General features: G+C 41.9%; 2 long non-coding RNA genes across 2 annotated transcripts in view, besides 2 other annotated features; both read left to right on the top strand.

Annotated features, from left to right (window-relative positions):
• The window catches only part of LOC105378657 (uncharacterized), a 203,343-nt gene that overhangs the window by 59,273 nt on the left and 121,512 nt on the right, over window positions 1-22,558 (top strand). The gene's annotated exons all lie outside the window — the stretch shown is intronic.
• Window positions 1,329-16,685, top strand: LOC107984943 (uncharacterized). The gene is made up of 3 exons (XR_001737993.2): window positions 1,329-1,566; window positions 2,899-3,065; window positions 16,655-16,685. It is a non-coding gene; the product is annotated as an uncharacterized LOC107984943 (long non-coding RNA).
• Window positions 18,072-19,015: an enhancer, noted in NCBI's record as "OCT4-NANOG-H3K27ac-H3K4me1 hESC enhancer chr1:38890925-38891868 (GRCh37/hg19 assembly coordinates)". NCBI's record gives its function as "activates a minimal SCP1, AML or CMV promoter by ChIP-STARR-seq in primed H9 embryonic stem cells {active_cell/tissue: H9 hESC(primed)}" and the evidence as "EXISTENCE:reporter gene assay evidence [ECO:0000049][PMID:30033119]".
• Window positions 19,016-19,960: an enhancer, noted in NCBI's record as "OCT4-NANOG-H3K27ac hESC enhancer chr1:38889980-38890924 (GRCh37/hg19 assembly coordinates)". NCBI's record gives its function as "activates a minimal SCP1, AML or CMV promoter by ChIP-STARR-seq in primed H9 embryonic stem cells {active_cell/tissue: H9 hESC(primed)}" and the evidence as "EXISTENCE:reporter gene assay evidence [ECO:0000049][PMID:30033119]".

Genomic DNA, 22,558 nt, shown 5'->3' with positions numbered 1-22,558 from the left:
AACACTGACATTAGCCTACAGTTGGGCAAAATCATCTGGCAACACAGTACATCGTAGAACATCTGTTGTAACCTTGCAATGATGTGACTGGACTGGGAGCTTCAGCTCACTGCCATTGCCCAGCATCGAGCAAGAGTATGGTACCACATATTGCTAGCCCAGGGAAAGATCAAAATTCAAATTTGATTCAAAGTATGGTTTCTACCAAATGCGTTTCACTATCACATCATCATGAAGTCAAAAAATTGTAAGTTGAACCACCATGAGTCAGTGTCCATCGGTATATGAGAAGTAGTTAATAAGTCTGGAAAAGTAGGGAATCAGGTGGTGAAAAGATTTGAACCCCAGATAAAATGATTTGGATTTTATCCTACTTTTTAGAAAGGAATATATTTGAGAACTGCCTTCTACCTACTTTTTTGACATCCTCTCTATCTCTTACCACATATCCTGGATTCCAGCTGCTCTGGACATTTTGTTATTCCCGGACCTTACCATATTTTCATACCTCCATGGTTTTGCTCTTGCTGTTCTCTCAATCTGGAATGTCCTCCCCCCATTCCTTGCTATAAAGCTAGTAATTATGTTTTACTGCTAATAACAAGGGCTGAAATCAGAGCAGCTTAAGAAAGATGGAGGCTTGGCTGGGCGTGGTGGCTCACGCTTGTAATCCCAGTGCTTTTGGAGGCTGAGGCAGGTGGATCACAAGGTCAGGAGTTCAAGACCAGCCTGGCCAAGATGGTGAAACCCTGTCTCTACTAAAAATACAAAAATCAGCCAGGCGTGATGGTGGGTACCTGTAATCCCAGCTACTCGGGAGGCTGATGCAGAGAATTGCTTGAACCCAGGAGGTGGAGGTTGCAGTGAGCCAAGATCGCATCACTGCACTCCAGCCTGGGCAACAGAGCAAGACTCTGTCAAAAAAAAAATAAAAGAAAAAGAAATACGGAGGCTTATTTTTCTTTCATGTAACATGAAATTTAGCAATAAGTAAAGTAGTAGCATGACAGGGTCATCAGGGACCCAGGCGTCTTCCATCTTTCCATTCCACCCCCCTTATTGTGGCTTTCATCCTCAAAGTCAACTCACTCATGGTCACAGGATGGTTGCCAGAGCTGCAGCCATTATGCCCCCATTCCAGGAAGGAAAAAAGAGGAAGGGGAAAAAGATAAAAAGAATGTACTTTTCAATTAAGTTGGTGGTTGGTGGCTTCGAAGAGCTTTTCTACAAGCCTTGCCTAAAACCTTTGCTTTTATTGTATTGGCCACCCTATCCACAAAGGAAAGTGAGAAATGTGGTTGTTTTGTTTTTGTTTTTGTTTTTCGTAGTGCTTATTCTATCCCAAGGAAATCAGGGCTCTGTTAATAAGGAAGAAGAGAATGAGAAGACAACTAACAATCTTTGCTACAATTGCTAAGCAAAAGGCACTTGAACACCTTCCACAGAAGAGGCAGACATGAAAGAAATGAAAGGTTCAAAAATGGAAAAATCACGGCATAAAAGGTTGAGAGGAGAACAATGCAACTGAACAATGAAGATAAATATAAATAATTCTTAAATGTCTAGGTATTATCCAAATTTCTAACATTTATTTTGGAGAAAATTTTACATGATGTAAAATAAGGATAGTATAATAAAATAATCTTTCTGAAACCTTAGTTTCTTTAAAACAACCATGAAGAATGAAGTTGGAAAAAGAAAGTAAAAGTGTGCCTAACTACTCATCTAATATAAAATGATCTCAAAAGATTCCAATCCATACTCAATTCTGATAATTAGAGGAATGTAAATTGAAAACTATTTTTGAAAACTGTTGAGGTTGCTAATAGTGGAATTAGAGCCACCATTTATCTTCTAATACATTAAAGAAGATAAATTCAAAGAAAATAGAAACCATTTACCAATAGTTAAAAAAAAAAACAGCACAGCTAATGACAAGATGACAGGAGGGAAAAAACAAAATAACTAGTTATTACAATGTGTATAAATGTACTAAATTCCTCTATTAAAACATAAAGACTCTCAGACTGGATTTAAAATGATATTCAACTATATTCTATTTACAAGATAATCAACTAAAACAAAGTTGGGAAAAAAGAATAAGAAGCAAAGGGATAGGCAAAAGTGCATGAGGCAAATTAATGCAAACAGAAAGGAAATCAAGGCCCACAGTGTCAATCAGGCAAATATAATTTGGGACAATAAAGAATTAAACAAGAAAATAGAGTCTTGTTTCATGGAGAAGGAATCCCAGGTTTAGGCTGGGTGTTTCTGTTCAGATTCCAGATCTATGTGAACAGAGGCTAAAGGGTCTCTTAGGAGATAATTCAAGCTGTGTCCATTGCAGGGGTTGGGATATGGCTGGACATGTCTTGTGAGACGGTAAGCTTTCTCTTGCTAAAAGCCTTTTTGCCTGAGACCTTAGAAGGCTCATCAGTAAGGATAAAGATACCAAGTGCAATGAATGTGACCTGGAGAGAAAATTGTAGTCACCAGAGGAAAATACCATTCTTAGGACAATGTGTTATCTATCATTGGAATTTGCCTTTTGGCCCATTCTCTGTAATTTTTCAAATACAAGCCTTCTGGAGAGCATGCAAATTATAATTTAAAACTTAAAGGGCTATTTTCCTAAAAGGGTGGCAAAAAAGTAAGAAACCAGTGGTATGTCCTTGGGATCCTTGTATAATGCAAAAGGTAAAGGGAGTTATTTATTCACTTCTGCTTTAGTGCGTTTGGCACCATGCAATTCGATTGGTATAAATATTACTATGGCAGCAGTATGGAGTGAGTGAGTCTGGAGTTAGAACAGGCATTTAGAAAGCTGTTACAATAGTCTAGAAGAGAAGTGCAAGAAACAGGAGTCCTTAACAAATAAATCCATGTTGTATCCCATAGATTCCTGGAAGAGGAGCAGTGTACCTTCTACATATGGCCATGGCAGAGTAACTGGGATCAGATTTCCTTCCCAATATAAACAATAAGAAAACTAGACGAAAGATATAAAACAACTGTTTTCAAACATTGAACAACTGGCAGTGCAGGATTGTGATCCTTGTGAGCAGGTAAGCAAACAAGGTGAGCCCTACAGTTACTGCAGATTTCTGCCTGCAGGGATTTTCTCGATCATGGTTCAATAAAAGGGAACCCAAATTTTGTTGATTTGAAGAAACAGACATCAAAGAGAAGGATGATGAAATAGTTATAATTTGCAGAAAATAATTTACAGAAAAGGAGCTCCAAGTATCCACATGGCTGTCCCCTGGAGTCTGTGGCTGAATCCTAAGGTACCCAATGGTAGACAAAGTGCCCAGAGGATTATAAGCTGAATAATTCTCAGAATCTACATAGGGCAAGGATAAGTTAAAATTCTGACCTTTCAGGATGGAGAGGTCTGTAAATATCCAGAAAATTTCAGAAGAGAACCCCAAATGTCTTGCCTTAGTAATAAAGCTAAACCAGCCCTAGAGTAAGGTATATTTTAAACCTGTTATACACATGCACATACACATACCTGTACTCATACACAGACACATAGATTGCTTTACCCTTGAAAGGATCAAGCTGATTTGTAAGCAACCTATTTGTCTGCCAGAGCAAAATTTAACATTCCTTAAAGGATGACAACAAAATCCAGGAATTAACAACATAATGCTGACAATGTCCAGCATGCAATAAAAAATTAGTAGACAATCTAAGGAGCAGGATAATGTGACCCATAACTAGGAGAAAATTAATCATTAAAACAACATTGGAAATGACAGAGATGGTGGAATTAACAGAGAAATTTTAAGAACAGCTATTATGAATATGACAGAGGATTTAAAGGAAAACATGAATATAATGAGGATATAAAACAACCAAATGAAACTTCTAGAGATTGAATATACTGTACCAAAAATAAAATGTTCACTGAATGAGATTAACAGCAGATTAAATACTGCAGAAGAAAACACCAGTGTACTTGAAGGCATAAGTAATGAAACCATCTAAAGTGAATCAGGGAGAGAAAAAAAGACTGAAACAATTAATTAGAGGCTGAGCAATCTGTGGGCAATGTAAAATTTAATATTTGAATAATGAAAGTCTCAGAAAACAGTGGGGAGTGGATAGAAAGATATTTGAAAAAAAAGTCATAAAATTTTCCAAATTTGATGAACACATAGACCTAAGAAACTCAATAAGCCTTAAATAGGATAAACACAAGGAAAACCACACCAAGACACATCATTATCAAATGCTGAAAACTGGTAATAAAGAGAATATCTTACAAGCAGCTAAAATGTAAAAACACATTACATACTAGTGAACCCATATGAGAATAGTCCCAAACTTTTATTCAGAAACTAACTAGAAGACAATGGAATGATAACTTGAAATGATCAGCCAACCAGTGCTATCACCTTAAAATTCTATATCCAGTGAAAACAGCCTTCAAAAATAAAGGAAAAATAAGGGTTGCTTTATTATTATTATTTTGAGACAAAGTCTCCCTCTATCACCCAAGCTGGAGAGCAGTGGTATGGTCTCAGCTCACTGCAGCCTCTGCCTGCTGAGTTCAAGTGATTCTCCTGCCTCATTCTCCTGAGTAGCTGGGATTACAGGCATGCACCACCATGCCCAGCTAATTTTTGTATTTTTAGTAGAGACAGGGTTTCACCATGTTAGTGAGGCTGCTCTCGAACTTCTGAACTCAAGTGATCCACTCTCCTCTGCCTCTCAAAGTGCTGAGATTAAAGGCATGAGCGACCATGCCTGGCCTAGGATTTTTTTTTAGATAAACAAAAGCTAAAAGAATTGGTGGCCAGCACAATTATTAAGGAAAGTTGTTTAGGTTAAAGGAAAATGAGGCCAGATGCAAACATGGATATAAACAAAATAATGAAGAATGCTAGAAAGAATAAATACACGAGTAACCATCGAATACTTTTTCTATCATTTTTTAATTTCTTTAAAAGACTATTGTCTGCTTAAAGGAAAAGTAGTACAATGTATACATTTTAATGTACATAGAAGTGTAATGTATGGCAGTAACAGTACAAAGAATGGGAAGAAGGGAATGAAAATATACTGTCACAAAGTTTCTATATTTTATATATAAAGTGATTTAGCATTATTGGGAAGTAGACTGTTGCATACTGTCAATCTTAGAGAAACCATTATGAAATAGTGATAACTAATAAGCCAGTAGTACTATTGGAATATTAAAAAACACCAATCCAAAGAAAAGCAGTGAGGGAGGATAAAAGGAATAGAGAATAAATGGGACACACAGAAAAAAACAAACAAGATGTTTGACTTAAATTCGAACATGTCAATAATTACATAAAAGTGTACCTAGTTTAAGTATTTCAATTAAAAGGCAGAAATTGTCATATAGTTAAAAAAGCAACACCTAAGTATATTATGTCTATAAGAAATACATGTTAAATATAAACAAAATACATTAAAACTGAAATAATGCAAAAAGATATACCATGCAAACACTAATCAAAAGAAAGGTAGAGTGGCTATATTAATATCAAGACAAGCAGATTTCAGAAGAAGGAATGTTATTAGGGATATTCACAAAGACGATTGAGTCAATTAATCAAGAAGGTATAATAATCCTAAGCACACCTCATAACAGAGCTTCAAAATATGAAGCAAAAACTGACCAAACTGAAAGGAGAAATAGACAAATTCACAAGCATAGTTGGAGATTTCCACATTCCTCTTTCAATAATTAATAGAACAATTAGTCAGAAGATAAGTGAACATATGGAAGACCCAAACGGTATTATCAGCCAATTTGACCTTTTTGACACATATAAAAACTGCCACCCAAGAACAGGAGAAGTGCACTTAGAACAAGCTAAACTACACATTGGGATATCAAACACTATCACTATGTTTAAAAAGATTCAGACATACAGGATACATTCTGTAAACAAAACACGATTCATTTAGAAACCAATAATAAAACAAGGTACCTGGAGACTCCCCAAATATTTGAAAATTCAACAATGCACTTCTAAATAACCCAGGGATCAAAGAAGAAATCACAAGGGAAATTAGAAAATATTTTCAACTGAATGAAAACGAACATATGACATGTCAAAATTTGGGGGATGCAGCTAAAGCGGTGCTTAGAGAGATATTTATAGCTTTACATGTTTATATTAGAAAGGAAGAAAGGTCTCATCTCAATTATCTAATTTCAACCTAAGAAGCTAGACAAAGGAAAACAAATTAAACCTAAGATAAGCAGAAGTAGGGAAACTAAATAGTAGAAATCAATAAATAGAAAATAAACAGCAGAGAAACATCAATGAAACGAAAAACAGTTTCCTTGAAAAGATCAACAAAATCAATAAAACCTCTAGCTGGACTAATCAAGAATAAAAGAGTAAAGACATAAAATTACCAGTATCATGAAAGAAAAAGGACAGCCCTATAGATCCTACAGACATTAAGGTATAGGAAGTAATTCCAACAACATTACACCAAAAAATTCAACTTAGATGAAATAAACGTAGTCTTTGAATGACACAAATTAGGCCAGCCATGGTGTCTCACACCAGTAATCCCAGCACTGTGGGTGGCCAAGGCAGGCAGATCACTTGAGGTAAGGAGTTCGAGACGAGCCTGGCCAATGTGGTGAAACCCCATCTCTACTAAAAATACAAAAATTAGCCAGGTGGGGTGGTGTACACCTGTAGTCCCAGCTACTCGGGAGGCTGAGGGAGGAGAATCACTGGAACCTGGGAGGCGGGTGTTGCAGTGAGCTGAGATCACGCCACTGAACTCCAGCCTGGGTAACAGAGTGAGACTTTGTCTCAAAAAAAAAAAAAAAAAAGGACACAAATTAAACTGACTGTGAATAACACATAGAAAATATGAACTGTCATATAAGTTTATATAAGAAATATAATTTATAATTTAAAATCTTCCCACAAAAGAAAACTCCAGACCTGGATGGCTTCAGTGATAATTCTGCCAAACACAAACTCAAAAAATAAAGGCAGGAAGGGGGAACACCTTCTAACTTATTTTATGAGGCCAATGTTATCTTGATAATGAAAACAGACATAGACATTGTAAGAGAAGTTAAAGCATAAACCAATGTCATTCATGAACCTAGAAGAAGAGCAGTGGCACCAGATAGGCATGTCAGTTACCAATAGAAGTCTGATGATAAATTATGGTACTAGAAGATCTGGAGCTCGCCCATAGATGTCTCGTGGAACAGGAGGTACATCCATTAGGAGTGAGCTTGTTAATGAGCTAAACTGAACCCCTGCCACCTGGGTACTCCTAAATCTAGCAGAGAGAGACTTTGAGGAAGTCTATAGCTCCTGCATGAGTGGGTGAGAACAAAAACGGTAGTTTCATTTGTTTCTACATGCTAGCAAGATCTGGAAAACTTGGGTTGTATTGACAGGATGCCAACTTTATAATGAAAGAATAATTTCAAGAACTTTTAGGCACAAAATAATTTTGCATTTAAATATATACAACAAAATATATTCGAAGTGTAAGAATAAATAATCAGAAATAGGACTGTGGTGAAAGATTTCAATATTCCTTCTTTTATTTATTTTTATTCTCAACTTGGTGAATCTTTCTGTCTGTGTATTCTGTTGTGATTTCAGTTCAGAAAGCTTTGCTTTTTCTTCCTTTTTTTTTAAAAAAAGTCTTTGATTATTGCTTCTGTTATAGATATTCTATATTCATCTTTAAAAATACCTTTACTTTTTCAATTGATTTCCTTTTTGTTGTTGTTCTCTATATAGGTCTTTTTCCTTGTTGCTTTGTCCTTGCTTTTTAATTTTATTTAGGAGTTTTAAAAACTCTACCTACAAGTCCCTCACATTAGTGATTCTTTTAAAATACCATTATTATTGTTATTATTATTATATTGTCAGTTCTGTTCTACAGGCCTTGGTAATTTACCCTTCCACTCAAGCAGGAAACATAATCTCTGATTTTATCCTTATCTATTCCACCTCCCATGTTTAACGCATCATCAAATCCTGCAGCTTTGATCTTCAAAAAGTGTCTTCGAATGCGTTTATCCGGCCGGGCGTAGTGGCTTACACCGCTAATCCCAGCACATTGGGAGAACAAGGTGGGTGGATCACCTGAGGTCAGGAGCTTGAGACCAGCCTGGCCAACATGGCGAAAACCCATCTGTACTAAAAATACAAAAAAATTAGCTGGGAGTGGTGGTGGGCGCCTATAATCCCTGCTACTCAGGAGGCTGAGGCAGGAGAATTGCTTGAACCCGGGAGGCGGAGGTTGCAGTGAGCTGAGATCACGCCATTGCACGCCAGCCTGAGCAACAAGAGAGAAACTCCATCTCAAAAACAAAGAATGCGCTTATCCCTTTTCTCACAACTACTCCTTTTGTTTGGACGCTTATAAGTTGTCTTTGGGATTATTACAAAAGCTTTCTAACTGATCTCCTGGATTCCAGCATTTTAGGGCAATAGATTGATTCCTTAGCTAACCTAAGGAACTTCTTATAAGTTCACTCTTATCTTCCCTCCAAATGCATCTATTTCTCTTCTTTCCCTTGGATGTTCAAGTAATTAGTGTTCCGTGAACTTTGTGGGCCTCCTCTCATTTTTGTAATTTTGCTTCTGCTGTTTAGATGTTACTTCTTACATTCCCTTGGCAAGCTCACATTCATCCCTCAAGATTCAGTTCAAATGTCACATACCCTGGGAAGCCTTCTCTCACATTTGTCATTCCTCCTTAATCTGTGCAGGGTGGGGTCCCCCAGCACCCCAAATTTTCCTCTATCACATCATCCATCAAACACTACTGCAATCCTCTCTTTATTCATCCATCTCTCCCATCCCCAGATTGTGAGCTCCTTGGGAAAAGAAATTGTCTCATTCATTTTATTTCCCTAGTACCAAGCACAAGGTCTAGTACAAAGTGTTTTTATTGAATGGAAACCCTAGAGTGATGTCCCTGATTCCAAGTCCTAGATGAACAGCACTTGTACCCATCCTTTGTTTAATGCTATATGAATCTAGCCCCTAGATTCTGCGATGCAAGCAACAGAAAAGTCAGCCACTAAGCAAGCTATGTCTCTAGCTCCTGGCACAGGGCCTGGCACATCGCGGGCACTCAACAAATAGGTCTTGAGCTGAACTTGGTTGCAATATATTATTCTGTCCCAAGTTGGACCTGTGCATTGAGAAGTGGGCTGGAAGTCAATGATGAAAGGCTATTAAACTGCATCCAAACCAGTCTCCATTGGGATTGCATGAATTTTGTTATACATGGGGAAGCAAGAGGACTAGCGAACAGAAGAAACTGAATGTTGATGATTAGATGGGTTACAATGACAAAAGACCTGGCAATTTAACAAGAAGGCATCTTCTGTAGGGAATTTCTGAAGCTGGCCAAATTCAGTGTGACATGCAACAACATAGCAATCTCCTGCCCATTCGTGGAGGCATTCAGCAAATGGAAATCAGATTTCAAGTGAAATCATGTTTGTGGGACAAATAACAGAGCATTGGGCTGCCTCCATCCCCCTCCCTAAGACCCAGATGCAATGAGCATTCTGAAAGGGAGGATGGTCACTGCATAGTGCCAGCCAATGGTGCTCACAGCCAAGAGGATAATTTTGGACAATTCCAGAGAGGGAGGCTCAGAGGCAGGTGCTCCCCTGTGGTGCAACCCATGCATGCATCAAGCTGGGCCAGGGCCTTGGCCACTGCTGGTCATCCCTGAGGGCCATTTTAATACATAACTGTAGGGTCCAATGAATGATTGTTTAGGAGAGGGGGAGGGAAACTGTAAACAATAAATCTTTTAGTCCACTCCCCTGATTTGTCTTAAGCCCTCCTTCCTAAAATCTTGCATTACAGAAGAAAGCATTTACTTTTCTTTGCCTTTCAGTTCAATTTTAATTTGACATTTTTTTTTTTTCACTGAGCTCCTTGCTGTAGGCAACTGTTGTAGGGGTCGGGGATCCGGAGAGGGGTGAGACACAGTTTCTGCCTCCATGGAATTCTCAGCATGTCAGGACAGTTGGAGGACAGAGGGAGAATTCTTGGGCTGGCCCAGAGTATGAGCAAGTAGGACTGCCCTGGCAGAAAAGGAAGAACCCAGACAGGTGAAGAGCCCTCATTAGGCAGTGCAGGGGCTGGGCAAATCCCAAGGAGGCTGGAACCCTAAGGGAAGGTTATCTGAGCCAGTAGGCGGGAGGGGGACAAAAGACAGTTCTGAGAATAAGAAGCAGGCAACCAGAAATGGGTCAAGTGAGGCTCAGAGGTGGAGATAAAGCAAAGCTCTAAAAGTAACCCACAACTGGTTAGATCAAAAAGCACTTGGCCGGGCGCGGTGGCTCACGCCTGTAATCCCAGCACTTTGGGAGTCCGAGGTGGGTGGATCACGAGGTCGGGAGTTCATGGCTAGCCTGACCAACATAGTGAAACCCCATCTCTAGTAAAAACACAAAAATTAGCCGGGCGTGTTGGTGGGCGCCTGTAGTCCCAGCTACTCGCGAGGCTGAGTCAGGAGAATCACTTGAACCCGGGAGGCAGAGGTTGCAGTGAACCAAGATCGCTCCATTGCACTCCAGCCTGGGCAAAAAGAGCACAACTCCGTCTCAAAAAAAAAAAAAAAAAAGCACTCAGCATCCAAGGAGCAAGAGGAAATGGGCAACTCCTGCTGCCTGTGGTCCCTGTAACCTCATGAAGTGTTTCCATTCCAGATAGTAAGGGCCCCAAGCATGACTTCTGTCCCAGTGGTGCAGGGAGACAGATAGTAACTAGCCAGGATGAAAGCGCTGTGTATGCAGGAAGCTCAGGGTACTGTCCGAGTTATTGAAGCAAGGGTCAGGTCAGGCCTCGTGGAAGTGATGACATTTGATGGAAGCCTGCAGGAAGGGTCAGGGCCCCGGACTTGGCACATCCCCTGGAGAAACCACCCTCCCCAGCACCGGATGCTTGAATGACTGGCAGTTCTGCTTTCACTCCTTCCCTGAAATCCCATCTTCACCAACTGTTCTGGGGCTGGAACATTGAGATTCTGAGAGGCAGCGGGTCTATTGGAATGCACAAGAGGCAGCCTGCCTGCCATCTCCTCTTCTTTTCTTGGGCTGTGTTCCCAGAGAAGGCGAGAACCTTCTTCTTCATGTCTCCTGGGTGGAACATTTAAATTCTCCCGGGAAACCCCACTAATTCAAAACCCACTGATTCAGAATTTGTGATCATTTGAATGGGGACTTGGATGAACTTTCTCCTTGAACTATATATGTGATGGAAGGAGTTTTCTAATCACATAAATAGAGGAAGATTTTAAGAGTAATGATGGATTTAAAAGCTACTTTTCAAAGGTTTTAGGAGAAATCGGAAGCATAGAAGAGATCTGGGCTCATTCAGCTCAATCACAGGTAGGTTTGGTTTCCAGCCTCTGCTTGCATGAGTTCTCCTGTAATGGGGAACTCACCAGCTCCTGAAACAGCAAATTTCATCTGTGGCAGATCAATTAGCATTTTTTTTTCCTTAACAAAGATCTCTCTGTGTGGTGCCTAATTATCGGTCATATTCCTGGCCTTGGATCTGCACAGAGACTTTGTGTCATAAGGCTGCCCATTAGAGACTTGAAGATGGATGCTCCAGGTCTTTTTTGTTTTGTTTTGTTTGTTTGTTTGTTTTTTGTTTCTTTTTGAGACGGAGTCTTGCTTTGTCGCCCAGGCTGGCATGCAGTGGCACGATCTCAGCTCACTGCAACCTCCACCTCCTGGGTTCAAGCGATTCTCCTGCCTCAGTCTCCCAAGTAGCTGGGATTACAAGAATGTGCCAACATGCCTGGCTAATTTTTGTATTTTTAGTAGAGATGGGATTTCACCATGTTGGCCAGGCTGGTCTCGAGCTCCTGACCTCAAGTGATCCACCTGCCTTGGCCACCCAAAGTGCTGGGATTATAGGCATGAGCCACCCTGCCTAGCCAAGGTCTTCTCTTTTCTGGTTATGCATGCAGGAATGGGTTTTGAGGCCTCATGTCCCAGGGAGAGATTATGGATTTTCTGGGCAATAAATTGTAGCAGGCTTGCCTCCTGGGGATGGAGTGCACTGCTCCTGCAAAGTCCTGGTCAGGGAAGGGTTGGGGGCCTGGGGGGTCTGAGTCAGGTGTGCCCTGAAAGCAGGCCCATGGTGGGAGGTTTTAACCAACTGAGGTGGGTAGGCGGGCACAGGCTGTGGAGCAGAGTGCCTTGCAGGTACTGCAGGGAACGGCAGCTGTATTTACTGAGCACTTTTCTTCCCTCCCACCCTCTATCTTCCCTAGATCCTCACTGTTTCCTTTCTTCATGTCCTTCTTTCCTTTTCCTTTTGTCTCTCTAATCAGTTTTTGGCTGATGTCCCCATCCCTCTCTCTCCCATCTCTGCCTTTCAGCCAGCTTCATTCTCCTTGTTTCCTATTCCTTCTATCTCACTCCCTTTTTTTCTGTTTTTATGGTTCTCTCCCTTCCTCCTGCTCTTTCTGACTCCATCCCTGCCTCTGTGCACTGTCTCCCTGTCTATGCTCCATTCAAAAAGAATAGATCACATACACAACCACACTCAACTAGAGCTAGTTGTGAGTTGCGCTTCATTTATCTGTTATCTTGAATGTTTTATGCAGGTCAGTGACCCCTCCTTGAACTAGTATTCTATTCCCTGCTTCTGAGTGTTGGTCTTTGATTTATTTCTTTTGTGCATCTATTTTGTGATAGCTGAGAACAGGTAATTTCTGCAGCAGGCAAACAGGATACATACGTGAACATCCAGATTCACAAATACAAAATGATTTGCTTCAGGAATTATCTAAAAAGCCAGTGCATTTACAATGTGATTCAATTTACAAAGATTACCTTCGTGTGCAACCTCTCCGTAACATCCCCCTTATGTATGGTTGCTTCGTATCTGAGTCTTTTAAAAATATGTTTGCAAGGCTAACCCAGTCTTTGTTCCTTTGGACAACTGGAGGACATGAAATCATTCTTTGAAGGCAGGTTGGCATAGTGGAAAATACATAGATTTTCAATCCTGGTTCCTCAACCCTCTGTGTATAGGAAGGTTTAGCCTCTCTGAGCCTCTGTTTTCTCATCTGTAAAATGGGGCCAATAAAACTACCTGGCAGGCCTATTGTGAGGAATAAATCAGTTGACATTTGTAGCTCATGACCTTTGAAGCTGGTAGGGTTACTTGAGAGTTGAGAAGTCAGTGTATCTAGGGTCTTCCTTGGCATTTTCTGATAACACTGCAAAATCATTAAACTTTGGAGACTGCATTTAGGAAGCCCATGATTCTAAGCAATAAATCCTACCAGAAGAACCTTCATCGATTACTGGAATTCTTAAAGGGAAACTTGTTTGGAACTGACATGTGAGGAAACAGCTGTAACACCCTGTCATTGTTAAAGTTTTGGTTAACAGGTATGTTTGAAATTATCTGTGTGGAAGAACTATTGTGTTTCTTAGAGGCAATAGTTTGGTATGTTTCATGCGCGTCCATGTGAAGAGACCACCAAACAGGCTTTGTCTGAGCAATAAAGCTGTTTATTTCACCTGGGTGCAGGTGGGCTGAGTCCAAAAAGAGAGTCAGCGAAGGGAGATAGGGGTGGGGCCGTTTTATAGGATTTGGGTAGGTAAAGGAAAATTACAGTCAAAGGGGGGTTGTTCTCTGGTGGGCAGAGTGGGGGTCACAAGGTGCTCAGTAGGGGAGCTTTTGAGCCAGGATGAGCCAGGAGAAGGAATTTCACAAGACAATGTCATCAGTTAAGGCAGGAACAGGCCATTTTCACTTCTTTTGTGGTGGAATGTCATCAGTTAAGGCAGGAACTGGCCATCTGGATGTGTATGTGCAGGTCACAGGGGATATGATGGCTTAGCTTGGGCTCAGAGGCCTGACATTCCTGTCTTCTTATATTAATAAGAAAAATAAAATGAAATAGTGGTAAAGTGTTGGGACGGTGAAAATTTTTGGGGGTGGTATGGAGAGATAATGGGCGATGTTTCTCAGGGCTGCTTCGAGCGGGATTAGGGGTGGCGTGGGAACCTAGAGTGGGAGAGATTAAGCTGAAGGAAGATTTTGTGGTAAGGGGTGATATTGTGGGACTGTTAGAAGAAACACTTGTCATTTAGAATTATTGGTGATGGCCTGGATACGGTTTTGTATGAATTGAAAAACTAAACGGAATAAGAGAAGGAGAAAAACAGGTATTAAAGTTCTAAGAATTGGGAGGACCTAGGACATCTAATTAGAGTGCCTAAGGAGATTCAGCATAGTCCTGCCAGCAAAGATTATTTATTTACTTCAAGAGTTAAGAGTGGCAGTTTGGGGATAGCACCAGGAGATATCAGCTGTGATGGCTTGGAGAAACAGTGTAAACTGGCAGTGTAAACAAGAGCAGGGCATGTATGAGTAGTTGAGAACGGTGAATAGGAGTATGACTAGACTGCAGATAGTAGGGATGACAAGTTTTTTGGGGGCACAGTCTAAGTTAGTCTGGTGTCTGGAATGAGACTGGGACCTAATAAAAAGGAGCATCTATACAGGAGCTCAAATGGGCTGTACCCTGTAGCATTCTGAGGACAGGTCTGACTTCTGAGAAGGGAAAGTGGTAAAAGTATTGTCTAGTCCTTTTTAAGTTGGTGGCTGAGCTTGATGAGGTGTGTTTTTAAAACACCATTAGTCTGTTCTACTTTTCCTGAAGACTGAGGACTGTAAGGGATATAAAGGTTTCACTGAATACTAAGAGCCTGAAAAACTGCTTGGCTGATTTGACTAATAAAGGCTGGTCTGTTATCAGACTGTATAAAGGTGGGAAGGCTAAACTGAGGAATTATGTCTGACAGAAGGGAAGAAATGACTGCAGTGGGCTTCTCAGACCCTGTAGGAAAGGACTCTACCTATCCAGTGAAAGTGTCTACCTAGACTAAGAGGTATTTTAGTTATCTGACTCCGGGCATGTTGAGTAAAGCTAATTTGCAAGTCCTGGGTGGGGGCAAATCCTCGAGCTTGATGTGTAGGGAAGGGAGGGGGGCCTGAATAATCCTTGAGGAGTAGTAGAATAGCAGATGGAACACTGAGAAGTTATTTCCTTGAGGGTAGATTTCCACGATGGAAAGGAAATGAGAGGTTATAAGAGGTGAGCTAGTGACTTGTACTATAGCATAGCCTGCCTTTGCTGGTGGGTGGTGATTAGGCCTGGTGGAACCACCATTAATAAATAAAGTGTGATCAGGGTGAGGAACAGGAAGGAAGGAAATATGGGAAAATGGGGTGAATGTCAGGTGGATCAGAGAGATACAGTAATGAGGGTCAGGTGTGGTATCCAGAATAATGTGGGAGGCCAGACTGAAGTCTGGGCCAGGAACAATGGTAATTGTGGTACTTAACAAAGAGTGAGTACAGCTGAAGGAGCTGGGGAGCAGAAAGTGTATGCGTCAGGTATGAGGAAGAAAATAGATTTTGGAAGTTATGAGAAATGTAGAGAGTAAGTTGAGCATAGTTTGTGATTTGGAGGGCCTCTAAAAGTATTAGGGCGGCAGCAGCTGCTGCACGGAGACATGATGGCTAGGCTAAAACAGTAAGGTCAAGTCGTTTGGACAGAAAGGTTACAGGGTGCGGTCCTGGCTCTTGTGTAAGAATTCTGACTGCACTAACCATGCCTAGGAAGGAAAGGAGTTGTTGTTTTGTAAGGGATTGAGGTTTGGGAGATTAATCAGACACGATCAGCAGGGACAGCACGTGTGTTTTTATGAGAACTATGTCGAGATAGGTAACAGATGAGGATGAAATTTGGGCTTGACTGAAGTAATGGGGGCTGTCTGTGAAGCCTTGCGGCAGTACAGCCCAGGTAATTTGCTGAGCCTAATGGGTGTCAGGGTCAGTCTAAGTGAAAGCAGAGAGAGGCTGGGACGAGGGGTGCAGGGGAATAGTAAAAAAAGCATCTTTAAGATCGAGAACAGAACAGTGAGTTGTGGAGGAAGGTATTGAGGACAAAAGAGTGTACGGGTTGGGCACCATAGGGTGGATAGGCAAAACAATTTGGTTGATAAGGCGCAGATCCTGAATTAATCTGTAAGACTTGTCCGGTTTTTGGACAGGTAAAATGGGGGAATTGTAAGGAGAGTTTATAGGTTTTAGAAGCCCATGCTGTAGCAGGCGAGTGATAACAGGCTTTAATCCTTTTAAAGCGTGCTGTGGGATGGGATACTGGCGTTGAGCAGGGTAACGGTGATTAGGTTTTAATGGGATGGTAATGGGCATGTGATCGGTTGCCAGGGAAGGAGTAGAGATGTCCCATACTTGTGGGTTAAGGTGGGGGGATACGAGAGAAAGACGCGAAGGAGGCTTTGAGTTGGGGAGAAGGGCGGCAATGAGATGTGGCTGTAGTCCAGGAATAGTCAGGGAAGCAGATAATTCAGTTAAAATATCTCGGCCTAATAAGGGAACTGGGCAGGTGGGGATAACTAAAAAAGAGTGCATAAAAGAGTGTTGTCCAAGTTGGCACCAGAGTGGGGGAGTTTTCAGGGGTCTAGAAGCCTGGCTGTCAATACCTACAACAGTTATCGAGGCAAGGGAAACAGGCCCTTGAAAAGAAGGTAATGTGGAGTGGGTAGCCTCTGTATTGACTAAGGGGATGGACTTACCTTCCACAGTGAGAGTTACCCGAAGCTCAGCATCCGTGATGGTCTACGGGGCTTCCAAGGCCATCGGGCAGCATCAGTCTTCCGCTGCTAAGCCAAGAAGGAGTCAGTCAGAGAGCCTTGGGCCAGAGTTCCAGGGGATCTGGGAGTGGCTGCCAGGTGAGTTACACAGTCCGATTTCCAGTGGGGTCCCACACAGATGGAACACGGCTTAGGAGGAATCCCGGGCTGCAGGCATTCCTTGGCCTGGTGGTCAGATTTCTGGCACTTGTAGCAAGCTCCTGGGGGAGGAGGTTCTGGAGGAATGCCTGACCATTGTGATTCAGGTGTTTGGAAGTTCTTGTGTGCTGGAGATGTGGCTGGGGTTTGTCTCACAGTGGAGGCAAGGAATTGCAACTTTTTTCTATTATTGTACACCTTGAAGGCGAGGTTAATTAAATCCTGTTGTGGGGTTTGAGGGGCGGAATTTAATTTCTGGAGTTGCATTTAATGTCGGGAGCAGATTGGGTAATAAAATGTATTTTGAGAATAAGACGGCTTTTTGACCTTTTAGGGTCTAGGGCTGTAAAGTGTCTCAGGGTTGCTGCCAAACGAGTCATGAACTGGGCTGGATTTTTATATTTGATGAAAAAGAGCCTAAATGCTATCTGATTTGGGATAAAGAAAAAGGAGCATTAACCTTGACTATGCCTTTAGCTCCAGCCACCTTTTTAAGGGTAAATTGCTGGGCAGGTGGGGGAGGGAGGGCTAGTTACGGAACGAAACTGTAAGCCGGACCAGGTGTGAGGAGGGGAGGTGATAAAAGGATTATAGGGTGGAGGAGCAGAGGCTGAGGAAGAATTGGGACCTAGCTCGGCCTGGCGAGGAGCAGCCTGGGAGGAGGGGAGAGGTCAGATGGGTCTGTAGAAAAGGAAGATTAGAAAGACTCAGCGATGCTTGGGGTTGGGACTGAGGGGACAGGTGGGAGGGAAAGAAGGAAGATTTGGGACAAGTTGCACTGGGCACAGAGACTAGGGAGGGACAGATATGTAAAAGAATGTCTGGACGTCAGGCAACTCAGACTCTTTGCCCATTTTACAACAAGAATTATTTAGATCTTTCAGGATGGAAGAATTGAAAGTGCCATTTTCTGGCTATTTGGAACTACTGTCGAGTTTGTACTGGGGTCAAGCGGCATTGCAGAAGAAAATAAGATGCTTAGATTTTAGGTCAGGTGAGAGTTGAAGAGGTTTTAAGTTCTTAAGAACACAGGCTAAGGGAGAAGAAGGAGGAATGGAGGGTGGAAGGTTGCCCATGGTGAAGCCCAGAGAAAAGAGAGAGTAGAGACATGGAGGGAAGGGGTTCAGGGGTTCTTACCCTCCAGAAAAGTGGGAAAGGGGTCAGGGCACAGAGATACAAGGTTGGGGCACAGAAATAAGGGATTGGGGCACAGAGATATAAGAGGTTGGGGCACAGAAATAAGGGATCGGGGCACAGAGATATAGGGGATTGGGGTACTTGCCCCTCCCCCAGAAAAGTGGTACTTGCCGCTAAGGGTGAAGGAGAAGGGGTTGGGAGTTTCTTGCCCCCCAGAAAGGCAGAGAAGGGGTAGAGACACGGACAGAAGAGGTTGGGGTATTTGCCCTTTCCCCAGAAAAGTGGGACTTGCCGCTAAGGGTGAAGGACCAAGGCAGGCGTCCCTGCGTCGTCTGACACCTCTGAAACCTGGGCGAATAATCAGAGGCAACCCTGCAATGATCAAACACCAAGGGAAGGCAGCCTTCCCTAGTCCATGACTGGCGCCGGAGTTTTGGGTCCACGCATAAAACGTGTCTCCTTTGTCTCTGCCAGAAAATGAAAGGAATTGAAATTAAGAGAAGGGAGAGATTGAAGTGTGGCGCCAAGATTGAAAGGAGAAAGAGGTTGAGAGATAGTGAGGGAGGTTGGAGAAGAGAGTAAAAAGAGGCTGCTTACCAGATTTGAAATTGGTGAGATGTTTCTTGGGCTGGTTGGTCTGAGGACCTGAGGCCATAGGTGGATCTTTCTCACGGAGCAAAGAGCAGGAAGACAGGGGATTGATCTCCCAAGGGAGGTCCCCCGATCCGAGTCATGGCACCAAATTTCATGTGCGTCCGCGTGAAGAGACCACCAAAGAGGCTTTGTGTGAGCAATAAAGCTGTTTATTTCACCTGGGTGCAGGCGGGCTGAGTCCAAAAACAGAGTCAGTGAAGGGAGATAGGGGTGGGGCCGTTTTATAGGATTTGGGTAGGTAAAGGAAAATTACAGTCAAAGGGGGGTTGTTCTCTGGTGGGCAGAGTGGGGGTCACAAGGTGCTCAGTAGGGGAGCTTTTGAGCCAGGATGAGCCAGGAGAAGGAATTTCACAAGACAATGTCATCAGTTAAGGCAGGAACAGGCCATTTTCACTTCTTTTGTGGTGGAATGTCATCAGTTAAGGCAGGAACCGGCCATCTGGATGTGTACGTGCAGGTCACAGGGGATATGATGGCTTAGCTTGGGCTCAGAGACCTGACAGTATGAACTTAAACTTTGGAAATGTTAAGGTTTTGTATCGAAAGGAAGTAGTATCCAATGATATAACAGAGGAAGCAAATTTCAGCAATGAATAGGAAAGACAAAAATTTGAATTAATTCATGCCAGTGAAGAGGACAGTAGAAAAGGTGAAGAAGTGATTAACCAGAGAGAAATGTGTAGGACTGCAGAGAATGGGGCTTTGGCCTAGAAGCTGTGGTGGCTTCAAGGTGCTTTATCAGGTTCTTCCCCCGAGGATGGAGCAGATGTCAGACACTGGAGAAGGGGCCCTGCTGCTCTCCTCTCTGCAGAGCTCCATTTGTGAACTGAAGGAGGAAAAGGCTGGGAAGTTGGTGGCAAGAGACAGCCAGAAGGCCTTAGAGGGTGCTCCTAAGAGGAGTTCTCAGCCACAGGAAAGGAGACTGTAAAAGCTTTTGACCCCAAATTAATGCTGAATCCCAAGTCCATGGAGTGAGTTAAGTACTTAGATCAATGCAAACACTTTACTCAGTTCTGGGAATAAATCCAGGCCAGATTGGTTTATATAGTCCTAGATACTAGTTAATAACTAGTTTATTGCTGCACTATTCACAATAGCAAAAACATGGAACCAACCCACATGTCCATCAATGATAGACTGGATTAAGAAAATGTGGCACATATACACCATGGAATACTATGCAGCCATAAAAAAGAATGAGTTCATGTCCTTTGCAGGGACATGGATGAAGCTGGAAACCATCATTCTGAGCAAACTATCACAAGGACAAAAAACCAAACACCACATGTTCTTACTCATAGGTAGGAATTGAACAATGAGAACACTTGGACACAGGGTGGGGAATATCACACCCTGAGGCCTGTCATGAGGTGGGGGACGGGGGAGGGATAGCATTAGGAGAAATACCTAATGTAAATGACGAGTTAATGGGTGCAGCAAACCAACATGGCATATGTATACCTATGTAACAAACCTGCACTTTGTGCACATGTACCCTAGAACTTAAAGTATAATAAAAAAAAATAGTAACAAAAGAAGAGAATGGAAGCTAGCAACTAATTCTATTTCATCCTATCCTATATGAGCTAAAAATTTTTTTAAAGAGACAGTTTCAAGTTGCTATTTCCACTCCCTCAATTTATATTCTCTTCTTAATCCTTGCCAATTCAGCCTCTGTCCCATCTCTGCAAAACTGCTTGTGAAGGTCACTAGTGACTGCCATGTTGCTAAAGCCAGTGGCCACTTCCTAAGTCATCTTATTTGACCTGTTAGCACAGCACAGTTGAGCATCACCTCCCTTTTTGCATATATATTTTTTTACTTTTTATTTTGAAAATGTTCAAACCTACAGAAAATTTGCAAGAATATTACAGTGAATACCAGTATATCCATCTGGATCCACCTGTTGTTTAACATTTTACTATATTTGTGTTAGCTCTTTCTTTTCATAAAAATAGACCTATTGGCTGGTGTGGTGGCTCATGCTGATAATCCCAACACTTTGGGTAGCCAAAGCAGGAGGATCACTTGAGCTCAGGAGTTCAAGCTTACAGTGAGCTACAATCATGCCACTGCACTCCAGCCTGGGTGACGCAACAAGACCCTGTCTCTATTTAAAAAAAAAAAAAAAGACCTATTATTAGTTGCTGTTTTTCTTAATCATTTAAGGATAAATTGCAGACATTATGGCCCTTCACCCCTTAAGACTTATACGTGTGTCTCCTAAGAACAAAGAAATGTATTATTGATACAATACCATTGTCTAAAAGAGATTCCATTTTCTAATTTCTGCCAATTGTCTCAATAACTGACCTTTACAACAGCAACAACAAATTTCCAATCCAGGATCCAATACATGACCATGCATTGCACTTAGTTGTCATGTTAATTTTGTTTCCTTTAATCTGGAACTGTCCCTCAGCCTTTCTTTGTCTTTTACCACATCAACATTTTTGAAGAGGATAGCAGTTGTTCTCTAGAATGTCTGATCCTTTGTCGTGATTAGATTCGGATTATCCATGTGGGGCAGGAACACTGAATCCATTATGTTATATTCTTCTCAGTGCATGACATCGTAAGGCCTTGATGTTGCTTTGTCCCATGCTGGGTGATGCTCACTTTGATCACTTGACTAAGGTGGGGTATACCATGTTTCTGCACTATGAAGAAATTTTTCCCCTTTGTTTTTACTAAGTGATCTGTGGGAGATACTCTGCTCTGAATCACCAATGAAATACTACCTATAGATTTTTAGATCCATTAGTGATTTTTACCTGAATCAATTATTGCAAAATACTGACTCCCTTACTCTATCATTTCTTCTATACTTTTTAGTTGTCATTCTACTATAAGGAAGACTTCTCTCTTATCCTTCACTTTATTTGTTTACTTGTTTTTTTTGTATCAGAATGAACTCATGGGTTATTTTTTAACTCAGTAAGTTACAATCCTGACTGTTATTACTCATTTTAATGTTTAAATTATCCCCAATTTGGTTGACTATTTTAGGTTGGCTTCCGTGTTCCTTTTGATGTACTGAGATGAGGAATATACAAATGAACAATGGCCAAACCACACATAAAACTAAAAGTTTGACCCATAATCTGCAGCCAGCAGCACAGAAAGTCAAGCCATTATCTACAGTAACCAGCCCAGGAAGCCAGCTTGCTATCCATAAGTCAGACTTACAGAAAGTCAGACCACTGTCTCTAGCAATCAATACCAGAAGCCAAACAATAAGCCCTCTAATAATCAGCCGAATATGGCCAGGACTAGATCAATAACTGACAACTTCCCTAATTTTTGTCTCTGATTCCAATTTAGGACCAGAGAAAGCCAAATATGCTTCTCTAAGCAATCACATAGGACACCCCACTTCTAGTTAGCTCCCCTATAGCTTCCCCATGTCAGAGCCCCCAATCAGGGTATATCTGAAGTCTCCCCTTTCTCCCACTACATGTATGTAGGCTTTCCCACTCCTCAGACTGCATTCAAGTCTCTGCCAAAATACAAGTGACTGTGGCTGACTCCCACGCCCTACTAAGCTCAGAATAAGTAGCCTTTTCTTGTTCTCATTTGAGTGGTCCTTGTTGATTTCCACAGTAACCCCATCATTTTGTCCATTGAGCATCTCCTTACTCTGGCACCAGAAGTTCCAGGCTCACCATTTACTTTCCCTGCCTTAGCCCTGGAATCAGCCTTTTCTCTAAAAAGCCCATATTCCTTTTAGTGGGGACTGATACTTAGAAACCAAGATCTGGACTCTAGCTGTGCTCGTTGTTACCAGGGTCACTGTGACCTTTTAAGAACACCTTCTTTCTAGAGGGCTATGACATGACACTCCCCAGTTTTCTTCCTGACTGTATTCCACATGCCTTCACAATCTCCTCTGCTCTTACCCTTCTT

Source organism: Homo sapiens, chromosome 1 (genome assembly GCF_000001405.40).
Source record: "Homo sapiens chromosome 1, GRCh38.p14 Primary Assembly".
In the NCBI taxonomy this organism is placed as follows: Eukaryota; Metazoa; Chordata; class Mammalia; order Primates; family Hominidae; genus Homo; species Homo sapiens.
Note: the sequence above shows the minus strand (reverse complement) of the source record. Positions and strands in the feature narration are given on the sequence as shown.